The sequence below is a fragment of the Homo sapiens genome, chromosome 8 (genome assembly GCF_000001405.40).
Source record: "Homo sapiens chromosome 8, GRCh38.p14 Primary Assembly".
NCBI classification, from domain to species: domain Eukaryota; kingdom Metazoa; phylum Chordata; class Mammalia; order Primates; family Hominidae; genus Homo; species Homo sapiens.
In genome coordinates, this window is record NC_000008.11 from 80,624,505 (window position 1) to 80,649,522 (window position 25,018).

The 25,018-nt window shown below is 41.7% G+C and overlaps 1 protein-coding gene and 1 pseudogene across 4 annotated transcripts in view, besides 1 other annotated feature; both read right to left on the reverse strand.

Moving 5' to 3' along the window:
* Positions 1 to 3,946: 3,946 nt before the first annotated feature.
* ZNF704 (zinc finger protein 704) overlaps positions 3,947 to 25,018 on the reverse strand; it is a 255,969-nt gene continuing 234,897 nt past the window's right edge. For 3 of the 4 annotated variants that reach the window (XM_017013725.2, NM_001033723.3, NM_001367783.1), the window contains exons 8-9: positions 18,531 to 18,625; positions 3,947 to 16,973 (exon numbers count right to left, since the gene is read on the reverse strand). In XM_017013725.2, the coding sequence (XP_016869214.1) occupies positions 16,862 to 16,973; positions 18,531 to 18,625 (207 nt within the window). In that variant the 3' untranslated portion in view covers positions 3,947 to 16,861. The remainder of the gene's footprint in view (positions 16,974 to 18,530; positions 18,626 to 25,018) is intronic. The other variant, XR_928797.3, reaches the window with a different exon arrangement.
* Positions 15,832 to 17,031: an enhancer, noted in NCBI's record as "CDK7 strongly-dependent group 2 enhancer chr8:81552571-81553770 (GRCh37/hg19 assembly coordinates)". NCBI's record gives its function as "activates an origin of replication core promoter dependent on BRD2, BRD4, P300/CBP, MED14 and CDK7 cofactors, with strong dependence on CDK7, by STARR-seq in HCT116 cells {active_cell/tissue: HCT116}" and the evidence as "EXISTENCE:reporter gene assay evidence [ECO:0000049][PMID:35650434]".
* Positions 19,957 to 20,712, reverse strand: CKS1BP7 (CDC28 protein kinase regulatory subunit 1B pseudogene 7; annotated as a pseudogene).

Sequence of the window (25,018 nt, forward strand, 5' to 3'; positions counted from 1 at the left end):
AATAAATATGTACTTTTAGCTTACCACAGCTAACTGATGGCTTCTTCTGTAATGGTTCAAGATGCTTTTTTGGACTAATGTATTTGTCTCAAGCTACTTAAAGTATGAGACTGTTGATTACTCAGAGAAATACTTTGAGGGAGAATTAAAAAAAAGGAAATACTTTCATGGCCCTCAATATGTGCCAGGCAACATACTAAACACTTTACACATATTAAGTCATTTATAACTCACAATACTCATATGAGACAGGTCACATTATTATCCATATTTTATGCTGCAGGAAACAGGCACAGAGAGGCTGCATAATTTCTCCATGGTCATACAGTTAGTAAATGGTGAAGCTGGGATTTGAATTCAGGCAGTATGGCTCCGGTTTTCCTACCCTCTGTGCTCGGTGTGGCTATATTTAAGATAATAAGCAATTCTTTTTTAACTTTATTTTTGAGACATGGTCTCGCTCTGTCACCCAGACTGGAGTGCAGTGGCAGAATCTCGGCTCACTGCCACCTCCGCCTCTCAGGCTCAAGCAATTCTCGTGCCTCAGCCTCCCGAGTAGCTGGGACCACAGGCGCCCACCACCATACCTGGATTTTTGTATTTTTGGTAGAGATGGGGTTTTACCATGTTTCCCATGCTGGTCTCCAACTCCTGACCTCAGGTGATCCGCCCGTCTTGGTTTCCCAAAGTGCTGGGATTACAGGTGTGAGCCATCATGCCTGGCCCCTTTTTTAACTTTAAAAATAATTTTTTCATAGGTGGTTTTCAATGGCCTAGATAATAACCTTATCTTTCAGAAAACAAGTAAACAATGGAACCTTATGAAAACAAACTGGCATCAAACAATACTAAAATGTCAAATGATACTCACAGGTCATGAATCTCATTTATGAACCAAGAGAGTTAAATTAGATGATCTTTCAGATCCCTCCTGGGTGTAATAACCCATTATTATATTTATTAGCAAGAAAAATGGCCTTTTTATCCTGTACTAGAAATGGTAAAATTATTTCTTCCACCAATCATTTCCTTCCCAACCTCACAATTTTTTTTTCTTTTTTTTGTTTTTTGAGGCAAGGCCTTGCTCTGTTGTCCAGGCTGAAGTGCAGTGGCACAAACAGCTCACTGCAGCCTCAACCTTCCTGGCTCAGGTGATCCTCCCATCTCAGCCTCCTGAGTAGCTGGGACTACAGACACTTGCTATCATGCCTGGCTAATTTTTGTATATTTTGTAGAGATGGGGTCTCACCACGTTGCCCAGGCTTGTCTCAAACTCTTGGGCTCAAGTGATCTGCCCACCTCCACCCACACTTTATTATTAGGTCAGTGCAAATGTAATTATTAGAGAAACTTCCATGTGGCCCCGAACAGTACACTCTCACCCCAGCCCAGTTTGTTGGAGCAGGGGAAGATGCCTCTCCCTTGTTAGGCCAATCAAATTCTCTCGAGTTTGGAATTGGTGCTCCAAAATTCTAGCCCCCTCTTGATTGCATGCGTTGGAAGGTCATGTAGGCCTCTGCTGGCCATTTTCCACCATGTGCCGGAAGAGCAAAAAAGGCAGCTATGTAGGGTGAGGAGGGAAGAGACCCTAGAGAAGAGAGGAGTCTTGATCTCGCTGCCCCCTGGAGAGTGGATGACAGGATGGGACTGGAGGGGCAGTGTGGCTGCCTTTTTCCCAAAGCCTTTCTCACTCCTGGTTCCAGGCCTGTGTGTGACCTGGCAACATCATTTAACAGGGGGTCCCACAGAGACACCATGTGTCCTTTCAGTAAATCCCCACTCGTGTTTGCTTAGTCTCATTTGACTGGGATTATTACTTGCAGCCAAACACGTAAAACATATGGGTGCAGCTGGTTTCTAGCACCTCTGGCTGTAGCCACAAGGTGAACAGTGAGCAACTTTCCCTTAGCTGAGCCATTCTGCAACATCTGACATGAATTGTTTTTCTGGGATGATCTGGGCATTACAGTGAAATCAGCTAAAGTAAGGAATGCACCAAAAACTAGGAATTGCTGTGCAGATGATATTAAAAGAGATCATGAGCGACCTGCTAGCCAGCTGGCTGACTGAAGGCTTTGGCCTGGGGTCTGAGGCTGGTTTGCAGGTTTAATTTGGAGGTGAGGACACTTGGTTGTTTTCAGGTTACCCAGGCTTACTGTGCTTTGGAGAATTGATTCACAATCAGCAAACTTGTGAGAGACTCATGGATCAACCCACAGGCCAGCGTCCTAGTGCCCAGTGAGATGCCCGTGTTGTTCAGAGCATTAGGTCTCAACCGTGTGCAGGGGGTGCCCCTTGTAACACAGGGCACTTCCCTGTGCTGGGCACTTTGCCAGTCCCTGTGCATCGCTCTCCAGCCTTGTGCTGTGCTTCGTCCCTCTCGCTCTTGATACCATAGATGCCTTGGCTGGAGCTGACTGTTGCTTGTCAGGCATACTTGCATATAATTAAATAAAAAGATATAAATGGAATCAAGTCCCAGAAGAAACAGTTAAACAAGTCAACGTGGCTGCTTCTGGGAGCATAATGAAGGGGTAAAAAGGGACAGCAGCAGGGACCTGCTTTCACTGTAAGCTTTTTACTACCCTGATTTTTTTGTAGCTATGTGCATATATTACACAGATACAAACAAATAAACGATGACTATAATACCCAGATCCTCCTCCTAAAATAGTGTCTATTATGCCTTAATGCCAGCCTGGATTCTCTCTCCTGTGTTACTGACACAGATCCTAATAGTCTCATTCCATTTACTCTGCTTGCTTGTAAGAGCACAGACCTATGTTGTAATTTATTTCCTTTAGAAGCATTCATTTTTGTTCACTTATTTATTGAATTGCTATGTGCAAGGCATTTCTACTTAAAACAGTAACCATGTGATTGTACACTTTGTCCTGTATTGGCTAATTATTATGTAATCAATATAGTCATTTGGAGTTGGCAATTTTGAGAATGTACATATTCTAAAGAAACTTTAAAAATGTGGCTTTCCAAATAAATTTCTATGCCAGTCTTTAAAATGTTTATTTCCTCTGCTTTGTTCCAGTAATGGTAGGTTGAAGGCAGAAAGCACATATGAAGCCTGAAGAAATGCTCTGCCTGAACAATTTGTTCATTCATTAAAAAGTTTATTGATCATCTATTATATGCCTGGTGGAGTACGACACAAGGTGGGTACAACACACAGGACATGGTCTTCACCCTTAGGAAATGTAAGTTCTTGCAGGGTATTTTTTGAGAGGAAAGTAGCTTGCATTTTTACACTAAAAAAATTCATTACCTCATCAGCTGTTTGCTGCAGCATCCCTTTGTATAGTAAGTATTTAGTAAAAACTTATTTTGCAAATTTATGCTTTCCACACAACTGTGCAGGACAGCATCTACGACCCAGATTCTCAATATCTTTTTCGGCTGCCCTGCCCCTGAGGGTTCTGCCGTGTCCCAGTCACTGAGACCTGGAGGGCCTCTGGGAGCCTGGGAGCAGAGGGCTTGGGAGAGGCGCACTTACAGTCTGAGCACAGTATGTGGAGGTTGCTATGCCCATCCCTCCTCCACGGCAAACATGTGGGCACTGAAAGTCAACTTTGCAGAAACCCACCTTCGGGAGCCCGAGGCCTGAGGATGACAATTCCAGGCTGGCTTAGCTTCAAAATAGGTATTATTTTCCCTCTGTTTGCCACATTGCCTACTTGCTTGGGACAACAGTCAGCAGCACAGGGTCAGCAGCTAACATATTTGGACAATCATTGCTAAGGGAATGGGTTGAAATTGTCATTAGCAGGGCTGAACCTGAGGACACATGCCTTCCACATGTTTCTAAAAATGGCCTTGATGATGAAGACATCTCCTTGGTTTTGAACTATTTTTACAACTCTAGGTAAAACCCCAAGCCCCAGCGAGACTTTCTTGGTATAGTTATCCTTAATTAAATAAATTGGTCTCCGAATAGAAGCAGATACACAAAAACTTTTATTAAGTGGAAGTTAGACTTACTTCATGGTAATTAACCAGTTACAAGTGCATTTAAATTCATGTGTGTGGACACTGTAGAAGTCAAAATGGTCTTTTGAAAGTCCAGTGTTCTGGCTCTGTTTGTGCCAGTGCAACCCCAGGTAGAACCATCCACAAAGTAAGTACAGGTCAACAATGATATCAGACTAGATTGGCAACACCATATTCATTGTTACAAGCATTACAGAACAGAAAAGTCCAAGGACCAGAAGACGATTACTAAAGTGATTCTGACTATAAGCCTTTTCTTCTACTTAAATGCTTCCAGAGGACCAGTGTAGCAAATCCTTAACTCTGGGGGGACAGAGCCACTTCTGCATTTTACACTTAAACGGGCCACAGAAACTGTAAACATTTGGTGGTCTCTTGATGCCCATTTCAAGTAGATGCCAGCTGTCCCCTTGGGAAAGTGCAGTTTAACTGGTATGAACATTTAACATTGTACATCTTCGATCTGAAAATTTCCTTCTGTTTCAATTAGCACCAGTGTATTTAAAAATATTTTTCCTGGTGTTAAATATTTAGGAAACATTTTTTTTTTTAAAAAACGAACACACAAAGTCCAAAACAATGGAAAGCAAAAGAAATTCAAAAAATTGTTTTAGAGAACAGCATTTAGAAAAACAACATCATTTAAACATTCAACAAATCTATGTACAATGTGCCAGAAGCTGGCAAGGAGCATGGCTGTGGAGCAGTCAGGTGAAAGGTTTATCAACCTGAACCTCCACAGGCTGTATTTACAGTCAGACAGGTATTCAGAAATGTGTATCAGAACATCTGGATTTGGCTAAAAATCATATAAAAAGACACAATGCCCCTTCCCCAATAACTTCTAATTAGGTAGCAAACAATCCAGTATAACCTTAAGTACCAGGTTTAGAAATGCGTGTTTTTTTCCCCCCGTATTTTACAAACAGTTGAGAAACTTTCTCAATGGACACTGAAGAGAACCAGAATGACAGAAATGGAGTTCTTTATTTCCACATTGTCAGATGAAGGAAAAGATATTTTTTCAGGCTGAGTAATGTAGTAAAGCACTGATTAAAGAGCGAAGACAAATTATTAGGGGAAAAAGTTTCATGAAAATATGAAATCAACAAGAGGGCTGAAGAAATTTGTGGATATTCTATATAGACTTTCCAAAATATAAGTAATTTTGAAAAAAGATCAATGATTTGCTTTGCTGGACAATATTTTCATATTTTGTTCTTTGAAACTATAACTGATACCCCTTGAAGAATATTTTTTTCTGGGATTGAGAATTAAACCCAGCAGATAAAACCTATGCTAACTTTATCCAATGAAATATTCGTTCACTTCATGCAGTTTTGTTTGCTTGTTAATCCAGTGTTACTAGAACATCCACCTTTAAAGAACTGGGCACATTTTCTAACAGCCAACATTTCCCATTTATGCTTACGAAGTAACAAATAAACCATTTCCCATTTATTCATCTTAATGATGGAATTTTTTAGAGCCTGATGTTTCAGAATAAAGTTTCAATCTTTAAAAACATCAAGTAGGAGAATATAGATGGGCTTCCCATATCCCCATAAGGATATGTATCCAAGTTTATTTTGAATAATTTGCAGTTGTGGTAGGTAGCTATGAAAAAAATTTACTTGGATTCGATACAAAATACATGCTACTCTTTGAAAATGCATAGTTTATAATTTTATACATTCATTCACTAACATTAAAGACTTCTGTTAAGCAAGTACTTACCTCTGAATGGTGGTAAAATTATATTTCAAAAGATCTCTAAACATTGGACAGCATTGCCACCTAGCTTTTGAGTTAGCACTCAATGACATGTGAATGCCTGTCATTTCCACACGAGTGTCACACAGGAAGGACTGCTGTTTTCTCTTCATTCTTTCTCCTTTACTTGTTTAGCAGGCACTAAAAAGCAATGTTTTCTACTGATTGCATTTCCACTAAATACCCCATTTTAAATATTTAATAATTTCATTTTAATATTTTAGATTTGGTGTAGAAAACAATTCAGAAGATGGCTTAATTTTTTAAAGTTTCCTTAAACATTGTCATGGACTAAGGGCAACAGAGGTTTTGTGATTACTGTTGTTCTCTCTCTCCAGTCTTCTCATTTGAAAAAATGACCGTAGGCCACTCGCAGTTGCATCTGATGATAGTCATGAACCCTTTGGGACCTAGCGATTTTTTCTTATCCTGAGTTCTTCTTCTAAGTATATAGGATTTTGATACGCAAAACACTTTGGAAACTATTCTAGTGTCTGGTTATTCCAGAAAGCCTATGTTTAAATGGCTGATCACTGTCCAACCATTAATTACAAAAATAGGAATTTTAGGGTGTGTTGTAGGAAAATATTGATTCAGGGATTTTTTTTAAAAAAAACATGTATGATCCACATTCCTGGGTTAGTTTACACCCAGGACATTTTCAGTTATCGAAGTCATGGGACTAGTATGTTTTGGAGATTTTTTAGTTCTTCCCTAAAAAGCTAAGTCTTTTCTAAAGCTTTCTACCAATGACCAAGGAGGTTCCCCGAACAGTCAGGAGACTGTGAAAGGAGGGGCTTTGCTATCATCACAGGTGTTGGTCACATCACAGCCATCGATTTCCAATAAGCAGAGTATGGAAAAAAGGTTTAAAAAGTAAAACAAGGGTTTGTAATCTGCAAAGTTATGTATTGCTCCTCAACCTTTTTTGGGAAAGTATGGGTAGTTTATCATGAAACTCCGCTGTATATCCCTGAGGGGTATATTCACACTCTGGCAGCCGCTCTTCCTCTTTCCTCTCGGTCCCAGCCATCTGTGCCCAAAACATAGGAAGGGGGCTCCAGTGGAGTGAGGGACAAGTGCTTAACAACATGAGTGGACTGAAGTCCTTTTCTCTTTCCATAAATACGAAATTATAACAATTATATGCTGCAGGAGCCACTTCCTTTTCACTTACTAAAGGCCAATTCTGCTTTCATGCTCTGTAATTGTGGGCAGAAGTCAGAGCCTGGAGTAATTAAACATGGAGCCCTCTTGCTCTGTCCTCATTGTCCCCTCCTAAGGTGGAACCCAGCTCACATTCCTGGTTCTGATCACTCTATTAGCCTCGCACGTGGAGAGGACCGGTAGGGTTGGTGACTTGCACGGCGGGCTTTGAGGCACAGTGAAAGGATTAGCTATCTGCCTTGTCATTCTTTACAGTGAGTCTGAACAAATCTTTTGTGATGAGCGTGGCTGGCTGTGTGACTAAGCCGCTCTCCTCATGATCACCTAAAACCGTTCAGACAGATGGAATATTTCCCCCGAAGGGAGGGAATAGCCACACTGACTGAGCCTTACATCCCAGTTATAGTAATATTTATCCCCTTGCACCTTAATTTAAGAGAGAGAAAGCAGTAGCACAGAAACAAGAATGTCCCATCAGGGGCTTTGGAACTGAAAAAACATTAACAACAGCCTGGCCTCTAGCTCAGGCAGATGAGGGCAAAGGGGAGGGTAATCTTTCAATGGCAAATTCACTGGGGCTTGCCAAGATGGGGGAAAGCAAGACTGGTAGCTAGAATGGGGACTGTTCTCTTTTAAAGCTGTTTCTTGAGTGCTGGTTTTCCTCTTAAGTCAAGGATGTAGAGAGAATTCAGAAGAAATAGATGAGCACCTTTGTTTTTTTCTGTTTAAAGGAAATTTCCTTCCTTAATGGTAGTCTCACCCCAGGTGCAGCAGTGAAATCTTGGCTCACTGCAACCTCTGCCTGCAGTTTCAAGGGATTCTCCTGCCTCAGCCTCTCAAGTAGCTGGAATTACAGGTGTGCGCCACCACGCCCGACTAATTTTTGTATTTTTAGTAAAGACAGGGTTTCCCTCTTTCTTCTTTTGTTTTCACTCTTTCTTCCTCTGTTGGCCAGGCTGGTCTTGAACTACTGACCTCAAGTGATCCATCTGCCTTGGACTCCCAAAGTGCTGGGATTATAGGCGTGAACCACTGCATCTGGCCAATTCTGGTTAATTTTCTGAATTAAAAATTTAGGGAAAAGGACCTAGCAAGATAATGTAATAGTTAATTAGACTTGAGAATTGATTTTTAGTATTTTCATGATATAAATAAATCAAGGGGATCTTCTCTTTAGAAGTTGGTAGTTATTAACTATGTGGTGGTGCCTAACATGAAAGAACATTTTAAAAAACAAGGACTACAGTTTAATCACCATCTCTGCCTCCTTTCAAAATCTGTGGTTACCTGCTTTCGGAACCATAGCTTTCTTCTTTCTTTCTTCATGGGTCTTTCTACATCCTGTTATTGTCATGGCAACGGCGCTATGATTCTTTTCCATCAGAAGAGGAAAGGACTAAACTGTTTCATTCTCCAACACTGTATTACTTTAGAAACATAATAATAAATATTATTCATCAAAAACCCTGTTCATGATGTAGGAGTCTGGCCAAAAAGTTTTTTTTTGAGGCTCCTTCTAGCTCCACAACCCAACTGCCTGTGAATGACTTTACACTCAAGATGTTACACCTAGTAAATTAACGGGAGAAAGGTAAGATGAAATCCATTCATATATTGGACTGCCTTTTAATCATTCACAATGAAAGAAATCTCAGGCATTGCCAATGTCATTTAAATTGCATTCATATTTAAACATGACTTAACCATATTACCAGGCGTTTCCAACTCTGAGTTTACAGTATGTTTTGATTTGATCATTACAGATTATAAATTTGAGCTGGTTTTAAAATTTCTGGCATTGACTTAAGTTTATATACATAGCAAATGTTGTATGCTAGCAGCAAAATAAATTTTCCCCAAAGAGTCAAAACTTTTACTCAGAACATACATTTAGCTAATAAACTCCTATAATTAACTACCAAATTGGCTGAAATTTAGGGATTAGGGATCTGCTACAGTAAAGGGATTCATCTGGGGATAAATCAGTTTGCACTTGGCAACATGACTGAGTAACGGGTGGGCTCTTTATGTCTATGCTGAAAGGCCTGGACTGAATAGATGGTTTGAGAACATGGTGGGTCCCTGGGTCTTCTTACGTCCCTAGTCAGTCTGGAAGACTAAGGTTTGAGCCAGGCCTTTAATGAGCCCCTTCCCTCTTCCTTGCAAGCAATACTGAGGCTGACTCAGGTTCAAGACTACTCTGGGTTGGCCTTGGAGGTGGGTAATGTTGATTTTAAATATTCCTATTCTACACTGGGTTCTTACAAAGATCAAATGAAATAGTGTGTGAACGAGACGTATCTTATTACATACGTGAAAGGGTCAGTGACTATCCCAACACCATCAGGACTCTGATGTAAGATAGAGTTTAAAATAACTTAGTCCATCTAAATGAAGGAAGCAACTTCTAATTTTTTTCATGACATAATTTATTCTCATTTTGCTTTCCCCTCAAAGATGCTAGGGTTTTGTATGTGGAAAAACCTCCTTTTGAGGTTAGTGGACACTCTGAAATAGCCTAAATGCCTACCAGTTCTGAAGCAAGGCTTCTGCTGTATCAGAGGTGAAGCAGTGGTAATTTTACTTGGTAACGAAGACTCATGAGGCCGGATGGAGAGGGAAGGAGTGTGGGGAGGCTGGCCAAGGGCTTTGGCACAAGGAGGCAATGTGTGCTCGCTTCAAGCTTCAGAGGCTCCTGGCAGCCTTCTCGGAAGGCACGAGGCTGCTCTTTGCCAGCCCCTCATCACAGTGGCCACGGTAGAAAACACTAAGAAAATTAGGATAACAGTGATTCAACACTTTACGGGGCACAGCCTGGGCATGCCAAAAGGAGGCAGAGTGAGAGAGCTGGATAACTCAGCGTATCTATATTCAAGTCTGCCATGAGAATGATATCTGGGGAGAAATGATCTCTTTCCCCTCTTTTATTTTAGTTGCCCAGATAGTGCCGACATGTGAGTTTGTGGGGCTGATGGATGAACCTGACCTGACAACTGTGGAATGTGAAATCCACTTTTCCCAATAGTTGAAACTGGGGGCTGCAGGCTGCACCTGTCTGTGTACAGCTTCTCTTTGGTCTGCACAGTGTTGGCCAAGAGTTTGAGTTAGTTGTCAACACTTACGTGTCAGGTAATATCATACTTCCACGTCAGAAGATCTAGCAGCCCTGGGCCTGATTTCTGCATGGTTCTGATTGTCTAGAGCTGAGTGTGGGCACCCCTTCAAAGAGGGCATGTGTTCTGCAGTTCAACCTGGTCTCCACCATTCTTGTGTTCCTCTTTGCCTTATCCACATCAATCATTTACAGAACTTGCCTGGTCCTTCTGAGGCACTGACATTTGCAACCTCTCCTATATAGAATTAGGAATCTTTTGGAAATGAGACTCATTGGGTTCAAAACCGTACAGCAATAAAAACTTCTTGGGGACTTTAATGCTAACAATGGAGACATTCCAAGGAGTGAAAACAGAGATTTGCAAGACGCCTCATCTCAAAGACTAGGAGCCAAGCCTGTACATGGCTTTCCCTAACTCTGTGCATTTCTAGTCCTCAAGTGTGCAGATTCTAAAGCCTATTTGAAACCAAGGTCTGAGTGACCTTCTGACCACCTCATAAGAGCTGCCCAACGGGTGTATGGCTGTTCTATCTCAGCTTTGCTTTTGATGTTATCTGCATACTTGGCTAATTAGGCTAGCTTTTGGATTACTAAAATCTTAGAAAGAAAAGGTGCTTTCTTGTTTTAACAGTGAGTGGGCTTGAAAAAACTGTACAGCATTATGAAATGGTTTTGGCAAAGCTCTGAATTATTTGTACAGTTTTAATAAACTCTTCACAACTCCCCTCTGTTTCCTGGTTCTTGGGAACTCAGTCACTTTCTGATCACAACCTCATGTGCCTGCTAGTTCTTCACAGTGAAAAATCAAGCACTTGTTCTTTTTGTTTTGTTTTTTTATTTTCCTTTTTTATTTTTTCCCTCCACTATATTTTGGAAGCACTTGTTCTTATGTAGAAATTACAGTTATATAGTTAGTGCTGAGGACAAAATTATTTTAAACACTACTGATCACCTAAGAATTCTATCTTTGGGCCTGTCTACTATGATTTTAGAAATTTCCACCAAATGATACTTGCTAGTTAAATGCAAGTATCTGTGATTCTGGTAGGTCAAGTGGTAAACTTGTCTTTGTGACACAGAATTTATCATTTTACACTAAAAAATTTATAAGAATATTTCTCCCATGGCCTATAAGCATACCTGTTAACACTTTTTAGATTTAAAATATATAAAATGACTCTTCAGGCATCTTTTTCCATACTTTGAAAACACACTAGTAATGGTAAAAGGAGTAGCTGTTGCTATCTTGATTCTCCTATAATACCCATTCCATCTGATCTGTATTTCTACCCTTGCTGCAGAGGGTTAATTAAAAAGATATGCATCAAAACATTTGCTTAAAAGAGACATAGCCCTTTGTTTGGTGAGCAAGAATTACTTATAATATTAATACTTCCTGCCTGGTAAAATACTATATTTTAAAAAATAAGCTACAATGTATAAAACCAAGGTCATTTCTCACAAAATGTCTGCGTTCTTTGTGATTACAAAACACTGCATCTTGTAAAATATTTCCAGTTAACTTGAGAAGTAGAGTACTGACGCTTATTACCAAAGTGTCATGTCTCTTAGAACTGTAGAAGCCTAATCAGTGTATTTCTTGTTTTATTTGGAAAATTAAGTTATAATTGTTTTTGTATTTAAAGGTTATGTTTTGCCAAGACATATTACCATTGTGATTCTCAGACCCACAACAAAAGTTATAAAACATGAGATTGTCTTCAAAAAAAGGAACTATTTACAAAACAGGACCAGAAGTAAAATTCCCATTTTGGTTCCTGGTCCTACGATAGATATACCTTTTAAAGCATGTATATCATTGGATATGGGCTTTTTCAAAGTCAGTCATAATAAGCAAACCAGTTGGTCTTAAATACATTTTATACTTTCTTGCTCTATTGGTGTGCATTACTCAGTGATACAACTGGTACCTAAAAAAAGTGCTAATCTCATTTTATTTACTGACTTCAGGTTTGGCTAGTTACAATGCAAAAAAGATACATGAAACAGTTCCAATATGGAGGAATCCCCACAGGTATGAGGAACAGGAACAGTCCGTGCCGCTGGTAGGGCTACTTTCTTAGAGAAATGAAATTTCCAGTTGACCCGTGTGCCCAGGGCATTCTCCAAAATGATTCACATTCTCATTCATATTCATGAATCCTGCTCTGTTTCCACTCATTTGTATGCACAAATTCTTCCCTGAGTTCACACAGGTCAGTGCTACAGAAGATGTGGTCGATAGCAATTCTACAGGGTCATGAGAAAAAGCAGCACCTTGTCCACAAAAGTCCATGGAAGTTTGTTCGCTAACATGCTATTAAAGCAAAATGTACATCGTTCACGGCTTGCTTTCGCCTACGGAATTCTGCTGATAGCTAATAAACAGTCATCCATTGGGTAATGATAAAAAGGACCAGCAAGGCTTTGTATTCACAATTACATTCAGAAAAAGCCTTACGTGAGTCTAGGAATACCACCCCCACCCCGTCCCCCTCCCCCACCCCCAGGCATTGCACCTGTGGTTCAAATGTTAGCCTTAGGCTACAGGTCAGCTCCAAACCGTTTTCCCAGGGCACTCCCCTATGCCTCACAAATGTCAGTACTGCCCAGTTCACATAAATTTGTCTTGAAATGATACCATGTTCATTTGAAAAAAAAATTGTTCTGACTATAAAAGACTTTAGTGATAACAAAATTCTTCCTAGTTTCAGGAGTCTCCAGACCTATTTTTGCATGCCCTTTATTTTTCCCTGAGGAAATGAATATTATTTACAGTATTTTGCTACTATTCTCAAGGTATTCTCTGTTATATGTACAATTCTGGCCACTTTTCTCTCAACCTTTGCAAGTGAATGCTGCACTTTGGAGTCTGATGAAGGGGGAACATGGATTCAGCAGTGCCAACTAATTCAGAACCCAGGGCTGCTTTCAAAAGTGTGTCTTAGTGTGACACCAGAAACAGCAGACTTAAAACTCGAGTGCTCTTGAGATTTAATGGAGGACATTTCAGTTTCAAAAATCTTTTGCAACATATACACATGTGACTATCTCTTTGAAAAGTTTTTAGAAAGGTCAAGAATTGTGTCATTCTCTATTGAAAATTTTCATCTGCAATATGGTTATGTTCGGGCAGGAATTGTCTAATAAAAGGGCACCTTGTTGGTGCCTGGAGCTGCTGACAGGCACTTTGCAGCTAAGCGCACACATTCTTGGTCAGAAACCCACAGCTTTTTTCCTGACACTGGCTTTTGCCAACCAAGGGAGAAAACTTTTCAGCTAGTGTGGTGGAGAGAAGTCCATATCTGCTAGAGATGGCCCGCTCAGGCTAGGCACAGCAGCCCTGCACTCTTGGCCGGAGGTACTTCCCTTCAGGTCATTCTCTCCTTGCTTCAGGCAGCTGCTCCCAGAGGAGAAAATGGCAGCTCCCTGGGAGGTACTTAGGGATGGTGACCACCAGCTGATCAGCACCAAGAAGATGAGCAAGAGCCAGGTGTCCACAGCCCTCTTGTACCTCCCCCCTGACTCCCTTGCTACCTGTGTGTTTTCTCCAGGCTGTCACACTGCCTCCCACCCACCAATGCAGCACACATCTGCTGGGAAGGCCCAAGGCTTAACACCACTGCCTGCTGGCCACTCTGCTTTGTCGCTCTCTGGAGAATGTCCTGTCAGTCACTATGAAATGACTTCTTTGGAGAGAGATGAAAAACCTTTTCTGAAGGCTGGGGTGTCAAAGGATAAAAAAAAAATCAAAAGGCTACATCATGCCTTACTTAGAAATATTTTGGGACCAGAATCCATTGTTTTGCATGCCTTTTGCGTAGATTGGCCTCTGAGCTCCCTGCGGTGGCCAGGGCTCCAGTTCCACTGCCAGCCTGCTGTGGGAGCAGTCTGCCCAGTCCTCCCCCTCCTCCCAGCCAAACGAACACACACAGAGAACTTGGTTCCACAGAGATGGCATCAAACGAATGTCTGGTTAATTTGGCACTTCATTTAGTTCCAAAATATAACAAAATAATGCTACGTTTAAAAAAAAAAAACCCTAACTTGCACGATCAGTGGTGTATATTGGAATTCATAGCTTTCTGGGTGGCCTGTAAGGAGTATAATCCCTTTTCTTCAAGACCAGCCACCTGTGGCTTGGTGGTCTACTAGTTATTCCACGCCTTGGTCCAGGGAATATGTGTCTGTGTCCAGGAAGGTACTGAGGGTCTGTCTGCACCTGAAGCCAGAAAAGAAAGTACACAGAGCCGTGGGCTAGCAGGCAGAAAGCAGCCCCAACTTGGGTAGGAGGTACAGAACTGTGTGAAAAATGCTTTAGAAAGGAGAAGAGATCCCAGGGAAGCTACATTCAGCTCTGTAGTTCTGCTTATACCTGTGCACTGGCTGAACACCAGATAAGGACTGAGCTTGGCTCAGCTAAGCTGGAGCTCAGCACTACTTATGGGGTATATATCTGGGGGTGGAAGCCACGGGGCTTTGCTCCAGGACTGCTCCATAGCAAAGATCTCTCCCTCCTTGTGTTTCAAAGTTCTGGGATGGGGGATGGATTTTATACTTCATGACTTGAATCTTTTTCTATTAGTAACAGTCCAACGATCAAGGGCCAGGGAGCTTTGCTGAAGAGAAAAACCTCTGGTCCAGGACTGTACCCTGTCATTTAAACACATGGTGAACTTGTTTAAACAGGTGACAAGCTCTGGCCGCCCAAGGCCACTGGGCAATCTGCCCATGGCTCAGGGCTTCCTGGACCAGGCCAGAGCATCATCTCGCATCAGTGGTGCTGCATGGGGGGTGACAGGACACCAGGAGGAGAAAGGACGTGTTAGAGTAGAGGAAACAAACACATTTCTGCGTTTAAAAAAATGCCATTTCCTGGCTGACCTTGTCAGTCTAAAACATACAGTATTGCTGGTGCTGTGACTAGTACTGATTGGTAATCAAGATGCAAAATTAGATGAAGCTCTTTTTCTCTTCTCTTAAAATAAATGTTTTTAAAGAAAAAAATAAATGAAGAAAAAAACCAGGATCTCTTCCAAGGAGTAATTTTAAAAAATTTATATGAGAGTTTAAAAAATAAAAGTCCCATAATATGTGAATGCACAGATTGTGGATGTTGCACTGTAGAACCTCCTTATACTTTCTTTTGCTTGTATATAAAAAGAATATCTGTCATTACTAGATGTCTTCTTTTTACGCTTAAAAAAGTGTATGTATAATCTCTAGACATATATTAAACTTTCCTCTGTGCAATTTCATTTAACATTCCTATGGCTGATCCCATGTCCCCTGTCCCTATACAGTGCCTCCTATAAGGTGCTCTTCCTACTTTGCATAGGTATAGGAGAAATAACTCTTTAGCAGGGCAATTGAGAGTCGGGTAGATAGAGAATGAGCTTATTTATAGGGCTTGACGACTCCCCTCTCCCCACACCACTATCCCCCAAACAAACAAGCAAGTAAGTTACGAAGCCCAATAAATGGAACATAGTGCAAGCCCTGGCCCTACTAAACTGAGAAATTCCTATACCTACATGCATTTTCCTTTTGGCGTTATGTTCCCTTTTGAGCAAATTCTTAAATGAATAGCTCCAATATTTTTATAAGAAAAACTTAAAGTTTGGACCTTCCATTTACTCACATAATGTTTATATTGTTAATTAACTCATCTCCCGGACATGCTAAAGCATAAAACCTATAAAAGTGCACTCAGAATGGAAGTGGTTTGTTGATCTAACATGACTTTCTGAACAGGTAGGGCCATGTGGGCTGTGCTCTGTTGTCTAAAGCAAACCTGCTGGGACAGTTTGGAGTTCTCTACCTCTTCTGAAATCAGTCAGTGGTGGAGTCTGGAGAGAAGGAAAATGACCCATTAACCTGGCTACAATCTTGACAGACAAGCAGTAACAAATAGCTCCGAGTTGCCATTTGTGTCACATCCCTGAAAGAAGCATCGAGGCTTACCCAGATGGCTACAGGTGCCAATTCTTGACTGAGTTGTGGCAGGTAGAGAGTAGAGTTAGCTGTGCTGCCTTTAGGGGAAGAGCTTCTTATGGATCCAAGGAAGACTCCTAGATGTTTCCCAACAGTGACAGCTGGACTTCCTGAACTCAGCTTCGGGCTGAAGTCTGCTGGTGATTTCCGTGGACAATCCCTTCTCGAGTTTATGCCATCTGGGGCCCTACAAACTAATAGCTCTACCATGGTTCAGTGTGGGGCCATTCTTAAAAGAAAAACAAACAAAAAGCCATAGAAAAGATGCCCAGAGTGCTGCGCTGTCTTGCAACACATCCTGACATATACTGCTCCAAGAAGTCAAATGGAAGATACGGAAAAGATTATTCACAACAAAAGTAAGTATTGATCTTTGTACAAATGCTACTGAATAACCTGTAGCTTGTTTTTTAAGTGTCAAAAAAATCTTGAAAATGGCATAATTCAGAAAGCTTATCAAAATATGCCTCCTTTCTAGGTAAAATGGGCTTTGTTGGTTCAATTGCTACAGAAGTCCACAGTTTTAAGTCTAGACATACAGCAAAAAAAGTTGACTTTTCTTTTGAAGGAAAAAAAACTAGTTATAGCTGCTCCAAGCTGGGTTCTCAGTAAGAGCAACTTTCTTTTGTCATAGGTGGTGACTTAAACAATTTTTCTGTGTTTTTGCTGTTATTCCTCCAAGGTTCCTGAAAGGGCTTTTCCTGGCTTCAACTGTGTTTTATTCAGTAGGAAAAGCTCTTTCCAACACCTGCAGTGGCAGGCCAGGGCAGGAGCGGCTCAGGGCCCTGAGCCCCTCTGCCTGGGGGTCTCTCAGTCGAGGAACCTCTGGCAGGCCTTCTTCCAGCGGCAGGCGGTACACCACATGTCTCGGTTCTCCATCCCGTACACCTTCCGACACTTTTTGCCCTCTCCCCTGGGCTTCCTGTAAGACAGACGAGGAAGGTTAGTTTAGTGGGAGGAATTCAATGGGCATTCTATGGAGAGCTCAAAAATCCCTTGCAAGAGTGAGGGAGGAAAAAAAAAAAAAAAAGGCTGGCCATGGTGGCTCATGCCTGTAATCCCAGCACTTTGGGAGGCTGAGGTGGGCGGATCACCAGAGGTCAGGAGTTTGAGACCAGCCTGTCAACATGGTGAAACTCTGTCTCTACTTAAAACACACAAAAATTAGCCAGGCATGTACCTGTAATCCCAGCTACTCAGGAGGCTGAGGCAGGAGAATCACTTGAACCCGGGAGGTGGAGTTTGCAGTGAGCCAAGATCGCGCTGCACTCCAGCCTGGGAGACAGCGACTTCTCTCTAGGTTCAGACTCTAATATGTGCTGGTTGTTTTCACAGCCACTACACTCAACTGTTAAAATTTGCTACCATATCCCTTAGGCTTCTATTTGTCTACTTGTGGACATGTCCATTTGGGCATCTTCATAAAACTGAATTAAACAAGTAAACACAAGAAATGCCAGTAGAGAGCAACATTGCTCTTTCAAGTTTTTAAGTAGGTACTTTCAAATGCTTCCACCATTCTCAATTTCTAGTACAGCAGTCCCTGCTAAGGGTGGGGAATATGTTCCAAGACCTCCAGTGGATGCCTCAAACTGCAAATAGTACAAACCCTATATATATATTATGCATGACTTTTTCTTTCTTTACAGTTTCATGGATTGAAGATTCATTCTTACTGTCGATCTTCGCAATCTCAGTATAAAAATTTTTTTCTTTCTTTGTTAAGTTGAAAACTTTCACCTTTTCACTTAAAGGAAGCACTTTATAGCTTGTCTTTAGCATATCTGAATTCTAGCCTCACCACTCTTGCACTTTGGGTCCATTATTAAGTAAAAGAAGGGTTACTTGAACACAAGTACAGTTCGTTACAGTCAATCTAATGGGCGAGTAGTGTAGACAGTGTAGATACACTGAACAAAGGGATAACATACATCGCAGGCAGGACTGAGCTGGATGGCACGAAATTTCATCACACTACTCAGAATGGTGTGCAATTTAAAACTTATGAATCATTTATTTCTGGAATTCTCCATTTAACATTTTTGGACCACAATTGACTTTGGGTAACTGAAACCACAGAAAAGTAAAACTGTGGATAAAAGGGGACTATTGTATTTTGGTTAAGGAACTTCTGGGGAGATCACTCTTGATCTGCATTAAAAATTGTATCTTATAGTTCATTTAATATAGAGATTAATACAACATGGCTCCAAATAGACCCAATAATCACCATTACCTATTCTGTAAAACAAAAACAAAAACAAAAAACAAAAACCTTATTGTAAATCATTACCCCCCGAAACAACAAATCTTCATTAATAGGTAATGGATGGTAAAAACCATGGGAAAAAAAGAAAGGGTGTTTTGTCAATTGTGGAGAAATTTTATAGAAGATCATTTCTCAGGGTTCTCTCTGCTGTTCTGTTTTACAGTTAATTCCCTTGTGGTGAGGTGTGTGGAGTTTTTTAAGCTGTCGTACCTTAAGCTGACTGTGCCTCTGGGTGGGGAGGACAGGACCGTGTGCGCATGCTGTCTCTGCTCTCCTGTGCCCACCGGATGATGTGTGGGTGACACCTGGTGAATACATGGAAAAGAAAGTTGATGGGGCAGGTTCTCCACCCATGCAGTTAGTTAACCTTTGCTGTGTGGACACTGATCCTTGACCATTAGAAGCAGAGATGAGGCCAGGCACGGTGATTCATACCTGTAATCTCAGAACTTTGGGAGGCCAAGGAGGGCGGATCACTTGTGGTCAGGAGTTCAATCAGCCTGGCCAACATGGTGAAACCCCGTCTGTACCAAAAAGTACAAAAATTAGCCAAGTTGGGGTTGTGTGCCTGTAATCCCAGCTACTTGGGAGGCTGAGGCAGGAGAACTGCTTGAACCCCGGGGCGGAGGTTGCAGTGAGCTGAGATTGTGCCACTGCACTCCAGCCTGGGTGACAGAGTGAGATCCTGTCTCAAAAAAAAAAAAAAAAAAAAAAAAAAAAGAAGCAGAGATGAAATGAAATACTTTCCTCACAGAGACCACACATTAAATGGAGGAGGGCTGCTCATGGCAGAATTAAAATGCATTCCCAAACAGAGAAGACCCACCAACAGCCAATATCTCAAACATTTTTTTACTTCATATCTATGCATTTCAAGTGGCTCATAATACCATATTTTCACTTGAATAATATTTTAAATCTTAAAGTACATTCCTGTCTATTTCTTTTGATCCTCATGAACCCTGTCAAGTAGGGCAAGGCTCATGATTCCCTTTTTAGAGGATGAAACATACCTAGAGAGGTTAAGAGATTTATTTAACATTACGTAGCTAGTAAGCGACAATGACACAGTGCAGGTCTAGGTCTTCTGTTGGCTCTAGTGGATCAATCACTGCCACTAAATACATGGATTCTTGTAAAAAACACCCCATCAGCAGACTCTCACGTCCCAACAGGAAGGAATAAAGGCAAGAGGCAGAGAGTCTGAGCAAATCAAGAACGTATGCCACCCACCGAACACTTACTGAGCGCTCACTATGTGCAGGTACACTCACAGCAGCTTTAGTCTTCACAACGACCCCACGCAGTATTACTATTGTTCCCATTTTACAGATTAGGAGACTAAGGCAGATGGAGGTTAAGTAACTTGCCAAAGGTCATGGCATGTGTGATGGTAGACCCAGGGCTGTGCTGCAGCTCTCCCTGGCACCAGGACCTGTGTTTAACCCTGTTGCTTTTCTGTCCCTCAGTCATAGAGGAGGGCCCCTACTGTCCTCAGCCCCTCCTGGATTACTCACTTCAGCCCTTTGCATTACCTGTCTCCTAACACTAAGTAATCTTCCCAGCTTCTGGAATTCTTAAAAGCTGCAACAAATTAATTTTTTTAACAAAGGAAAAAGAATGTTTCTTTTTTTTTTAGATTATAAAAACTTCCTCTTTAACCAAGGCTTTTAACATGAACAGATTTCTTGAATAAAATGGAAAGTTTCCAGTACACTGAAACATAAATCCGCAAGTCACCATACATACAACACCCGGCAGGAAAAAACAAAAACAGCAAGTTTACATGATCCCTGTAACAGCCATGGTCTCAAACTCAGATGCTTCCTCCATCTGCCAAGTGTGTTCTGGATACAGAACACATCGTGGCTTCTGGGGTCACACTCAGCTGAGGCTGTGGGTCCACAGAGCACTCATCTGGCTGGGCTATGGTGGTGGTGGCTCTACTCAAGAAGCAAAGCAGTTACCAGCACATTCAAACAGTGTATTGAACATCTTTTAAATATCAAAGTGAGAAGCAAGAAGGCAACATAATAATGTTATCTGAAAGATGTTAGGAAGTAAGGACAGCTGTGTAAAGCTTGAGGCTGAAAAGCAGCTTGCCAGCTTCATTTCTTTGTTTTCTCGGGTAGTGGGTGCCGGAACAGCAAGATGTGAGGTTCTGGTTCATGGATCATATAATGGACCCATCCCTGACTCTGCTGAATGCCAAGATTCCTCCATTCAGATTCAGACATCAAATGGGTTTTAGGGACCAGCTTGGCTATGTCCTTGGGCAGCATGACATGTCGATACTCAAACTCCTCGTCGTCGTATTTGTCCAAATAGTAAATTTGTTTGTGCGACATGATCGCTCGGTTTGCTAGCCTTCAGCCCCGCGCCGCCAACCTCCCGGAAAAAGAATGTTTCAACTAATTAATCAGTATTGCCATATGTAGGAGGATAGACATTTAATAAATTTAAAAACCTAGGAGCCAACGTGGTCACAGGAATAGCATTGTCACTTAAAAGTCATGGGAACATTCCCCAAACATCCTTAGAGAATTGCTTTTCTCTAGTACAGGTATTAGTACTTTCTCTTCTCTTTCAACGTAAAGGAATGCACATGACACAGTTCGGATGTGTGTCTCTGCCTGAATTTCATGTTGAAAAGTAATCCCCAATGCTGGAGGTGGGGCCTGGTGGGAGGTGTGTGGATTATGGGGATGGATCCCTCATGAATAGCTTGGACCATTCCCTTGGTGATATGTGACCTCTCACTCTTGAGTTTACATAAGACTGTGGTTGTTTTATGCCCATTCCTGCTTTCATACATGACGTGCCTGCTCCTGCTTCACCTTCCACCATGAGTAAAAGCTCCCTGAGGCCTCCCCAGAAGCAGATGCCACTGTGCTTCCTGTACAGCCTGTAGAGCCAATTAAACCTCTTTTCTTTATAACTTACCCTATCTCAGGTATTTCTTTATAGCAATGCAAGTATGGCCTAATAGAGATCATCAGTGTTATTTTCCCAGACATTAATTTTAATGCTATGGCTTGAATGTTTGTCCCCTCCAAAACTTATGTTGAAACTTACTTGCCATTGTAATAGTATTAAGAGGTGGGGCCCTTAAGAGGTGATTAGGCTATGAGGGCTCCACTCCCATGGGTGGGATTAGTGTTCTGCAAGGGCCAGTTTGGCCCCCCTCACCCTCTCACCTTCTGCCATGTGATGATGCAGCATAAAGGCCCTAACAGAGGCTGGCATGTTGATGTTGGACTTCCCCGCCTCCAGGTTGTTAGTCAGTAAATTTCTGTTCATTATAGATTACCCAGTCTAAGGTATTCTGTTATAGCAGCACAAAACTTAGACATTTAAAAAATTATACAGGTAGGGCCAGGAGTGGTAGCTTATGCCTGTAATCCTAGCACTTTGGGAGGCCAAGGTGAATGGATCACTTGAGTCCAGGAGTTTGAGCCCAGTCTGGGCAACATGGTGAAACCCCATCTCTACTAAAAATACACAAATTAGCCAGATTGGTGATGTGCACCTAAAGTCCCAGCTACTCAGCTGAGGTGGGAGGATCACCTGAGTGTGGAGAGTTCAAGGGAGCAGTGAGTCGAGATTGTGCCGTTGCACTCTAGCCTGGGCAACAGAGTGAGACACATCTCAAAAAAAAAAAAAAAAATTATACAGGTAAGTAAAAATCTAACATTTGGAACCATTGTTGCCATGAGTTTGAACTATTCTATACCACTGGTCTTCATGCTAAAGTTGGGTGGAGCAAGGGCCAGCAGAGGTAACATTCAGAGTTTTTAAAAATAAAAGCTTTGGAGTTCAGTGCATTCATTTCATGTGTATAGATACGCAGCTTCCTCCAAGAGCAGAATCCTCCTCACCCCATCTCATAATGGCTTTGGTTTTGTACAGGATGAATAACAGCAAACTAGAGGGAGTGAATACCTGAGACATCTACAGTCACTGTAGATGATCTCTGATATGCTTATATGAATTGTTTTAAATTATCAGGAAAATAAACATAAAAATTAACAATTCTTGTAGAACTTATAGAATCCCAAGAACACTGTACTTCATTTAGTCAGAGAACTGGAAAAGTTTGGTTGACATGACAGTAACACTACTCCCATCAGCCACGGATAATGTGGAAGTTTCTAGATCATGCAAAGTTGCCATAGCCCTTTTGCATGAAGTGATATGAGATTATTGGATACTCTTCATTCAACAGATATTTATTAAGTACTTGCTATGTACCAGGCATTGTTACAGATTCTGAGGATATAGCTGTGAACAAAACAAATTCTCTGCCCTCATGGAGCTTACGTTCTAGTGAGAAGACAGACAATAAATACGAAATCACACAAGATCATTTTAGTGATAAGTAGCTGACAGAAATGAAATAGGATAACAGGCTAAAGTGTAATAGAAGGAGAGGACATTTATTTATCTTGAGTGGTAAGAGAAGGCTTCCTGAGGAGGTTACCTTTCACCTACAAGGCACTGCAGAAAAAGGGGTGGGCACTTTGTGGGAGGTGGAGGGTGGGAGGAGAGGAGACGGAAGTATCAAGCTATGCCTCTGACCTGCAATAAGGGATCTGAATGTTATTCTAACGGCAATAAGTAAGCCATTGGAGTGTTTTTAAAAGTAAGACATCTGATTAATGCTTTAAACAGATCACTTTGGCACTTTGGAGAATGGACAGCAGACAGCCTGGAAAGGAGCCCTGGAGTTAAGAGGCTTTTGCAGTATACCAGGCAAAGACATACTGGTGGTTTAGACTAGGTATGGCGGCAGTGGTGGGGAGGGTCTGGATTCCTGTTGTTTAGAGGCACAGCCTAGGACTTGTGGGTTAGGATGGGGCACAAAGAAAATTGCATCTCTAGATGAATCAAGGATGAATTGAGGAGTCAAGGATGAATCCCAGGTTCTGGCCCAAGTGGCAGGAGGCACAGTGGTGCCACTTTCTGAGATGAGAAAGTTACAGAAGCAGCAGGGTCGGGGAGGCATGAGGAACAGGCTTTTGAAAATTCCAGGAACAGGGTTTGAGGGACATGGATTGTCTTCAGCGGTTTTGTGCTGCTATAACAGAGTACCTGAGACTGGATGATTTATAATAAGCAGAAATTTATTTTTTAAAGTTCTGGAGGCTGGAAAGTCCAAGGTTGAGGGGCCGGCATGTGACAACGGCCTTCTCGCTGTGTCATCCCAGGGCAAAGGGTGGAAGGGTAACAGTTCACTTAAGAGAAGGCTGAGCTTGTTTTTATAACAAACCCACTCTCCTGATAATGACACTAATCCATTCATGAGAGTAGAGTCCTCTGGACCCCATCACCTCTTAAGGGTTCCACCTCTCAACACTGCTGCACTGGGGATTATATTTCCAACACATGAACTTTGGGGGACACTTGCAAACCACAACATGGACCTCCTGCAGGAATGACCCCTCGCCAAAGTCCTTCTTCCTGCTAATGGCTCTCTTAACTCTGGAGTTCAGTACATGCATTTCGAGGACCCACTTCAAACTTCCATATGTGGCTGAGTTCAGTAGGAGGCTCAATATGACATGTGAGTTTTTTCTTCAGACTTTTAATGGCAAGACAGTCATGTTTCAGCTTCTTATTTTAGTTGAGGATGAGGGTGGAGAAACCAAGGGAGTAACTGGGGCAGTCAACTACCATTTATTCAGTGCTTGCGAATGTGAAAGACAGGCAAGTAGGTTATCTATTATCTCTTTTAATTCTCACAGAAAACTTGCAAAATAAATAATCTATATCTACATCTTACAGATAGAGAAATTTAGGCTTTGAGCAGGGAAATGGCCTGCAGAACATCCCAGAGGCAAAAGTAGCAGCAGAAGTAATTTGCTGAGAGCCTGCTATATAAGCTAAGTGTCTTCCATATGTTATCTATTTTAATCTTCGCAACAACCCTATCATAGCCATAATTTCCATTTTATAGATGAGAAAATGGAGAAGTTAAGTGCACTGTCCAGTCCACACAGTAAATGGACTCAGGGTTTGAACACCATTGTCTGACTTGAACACAGCTGGCCTTGGAACTCACTTCCGAATGATGTCAAAGCCCTGCTTTTTGCACTCTTCCATCCTGCCATATCGTTGATGTAAATAATGTGTGCCCTAAAATAAAGCCCTATAAAGCAAATACTCTCTCTCTTAGTGGTCTCTGCATTTCAATTTGTTTATTTCTTAACCATTTCCAAGTTCTATTTTGTAGCATGTTTTATAAAGCATATAATGTGCTTGGACAGTATAATATGATAATATTTCTAGCTAAATAAAATTATTGGGCTATATGTACATAGTTTGTTGGTTAGGTGTGACCTCAGAAGAGTCTAAAGAATTTTAAATTAGATGGCCAAATAGGAACAGCTCCAGTCTACAGCTCCCAGCATGAGTGATGCAGAAGATGGGTGATTTCTGCATTTCCAACTGAGGTACCGGGTTCAACTCACTGGGAAGTGTCAGATAGTGGGTGCACGACAGTGGGTGCAGCACACCGAGTGTGAGCCGAAGCAGGATGAGGCATCGCCTCACCCGGGAAGCGCAAGGGCTCAGGGAATTCCCTTTCCTAGTCAAAGAAAGGGGTGACAGACAGCACCTGGAAAATTGGGTCTCTCCCACCCTAATACTGCGCTTTTCCAACAGTCTTAGCAAACGGCACACCAGGAGATTATATCCTG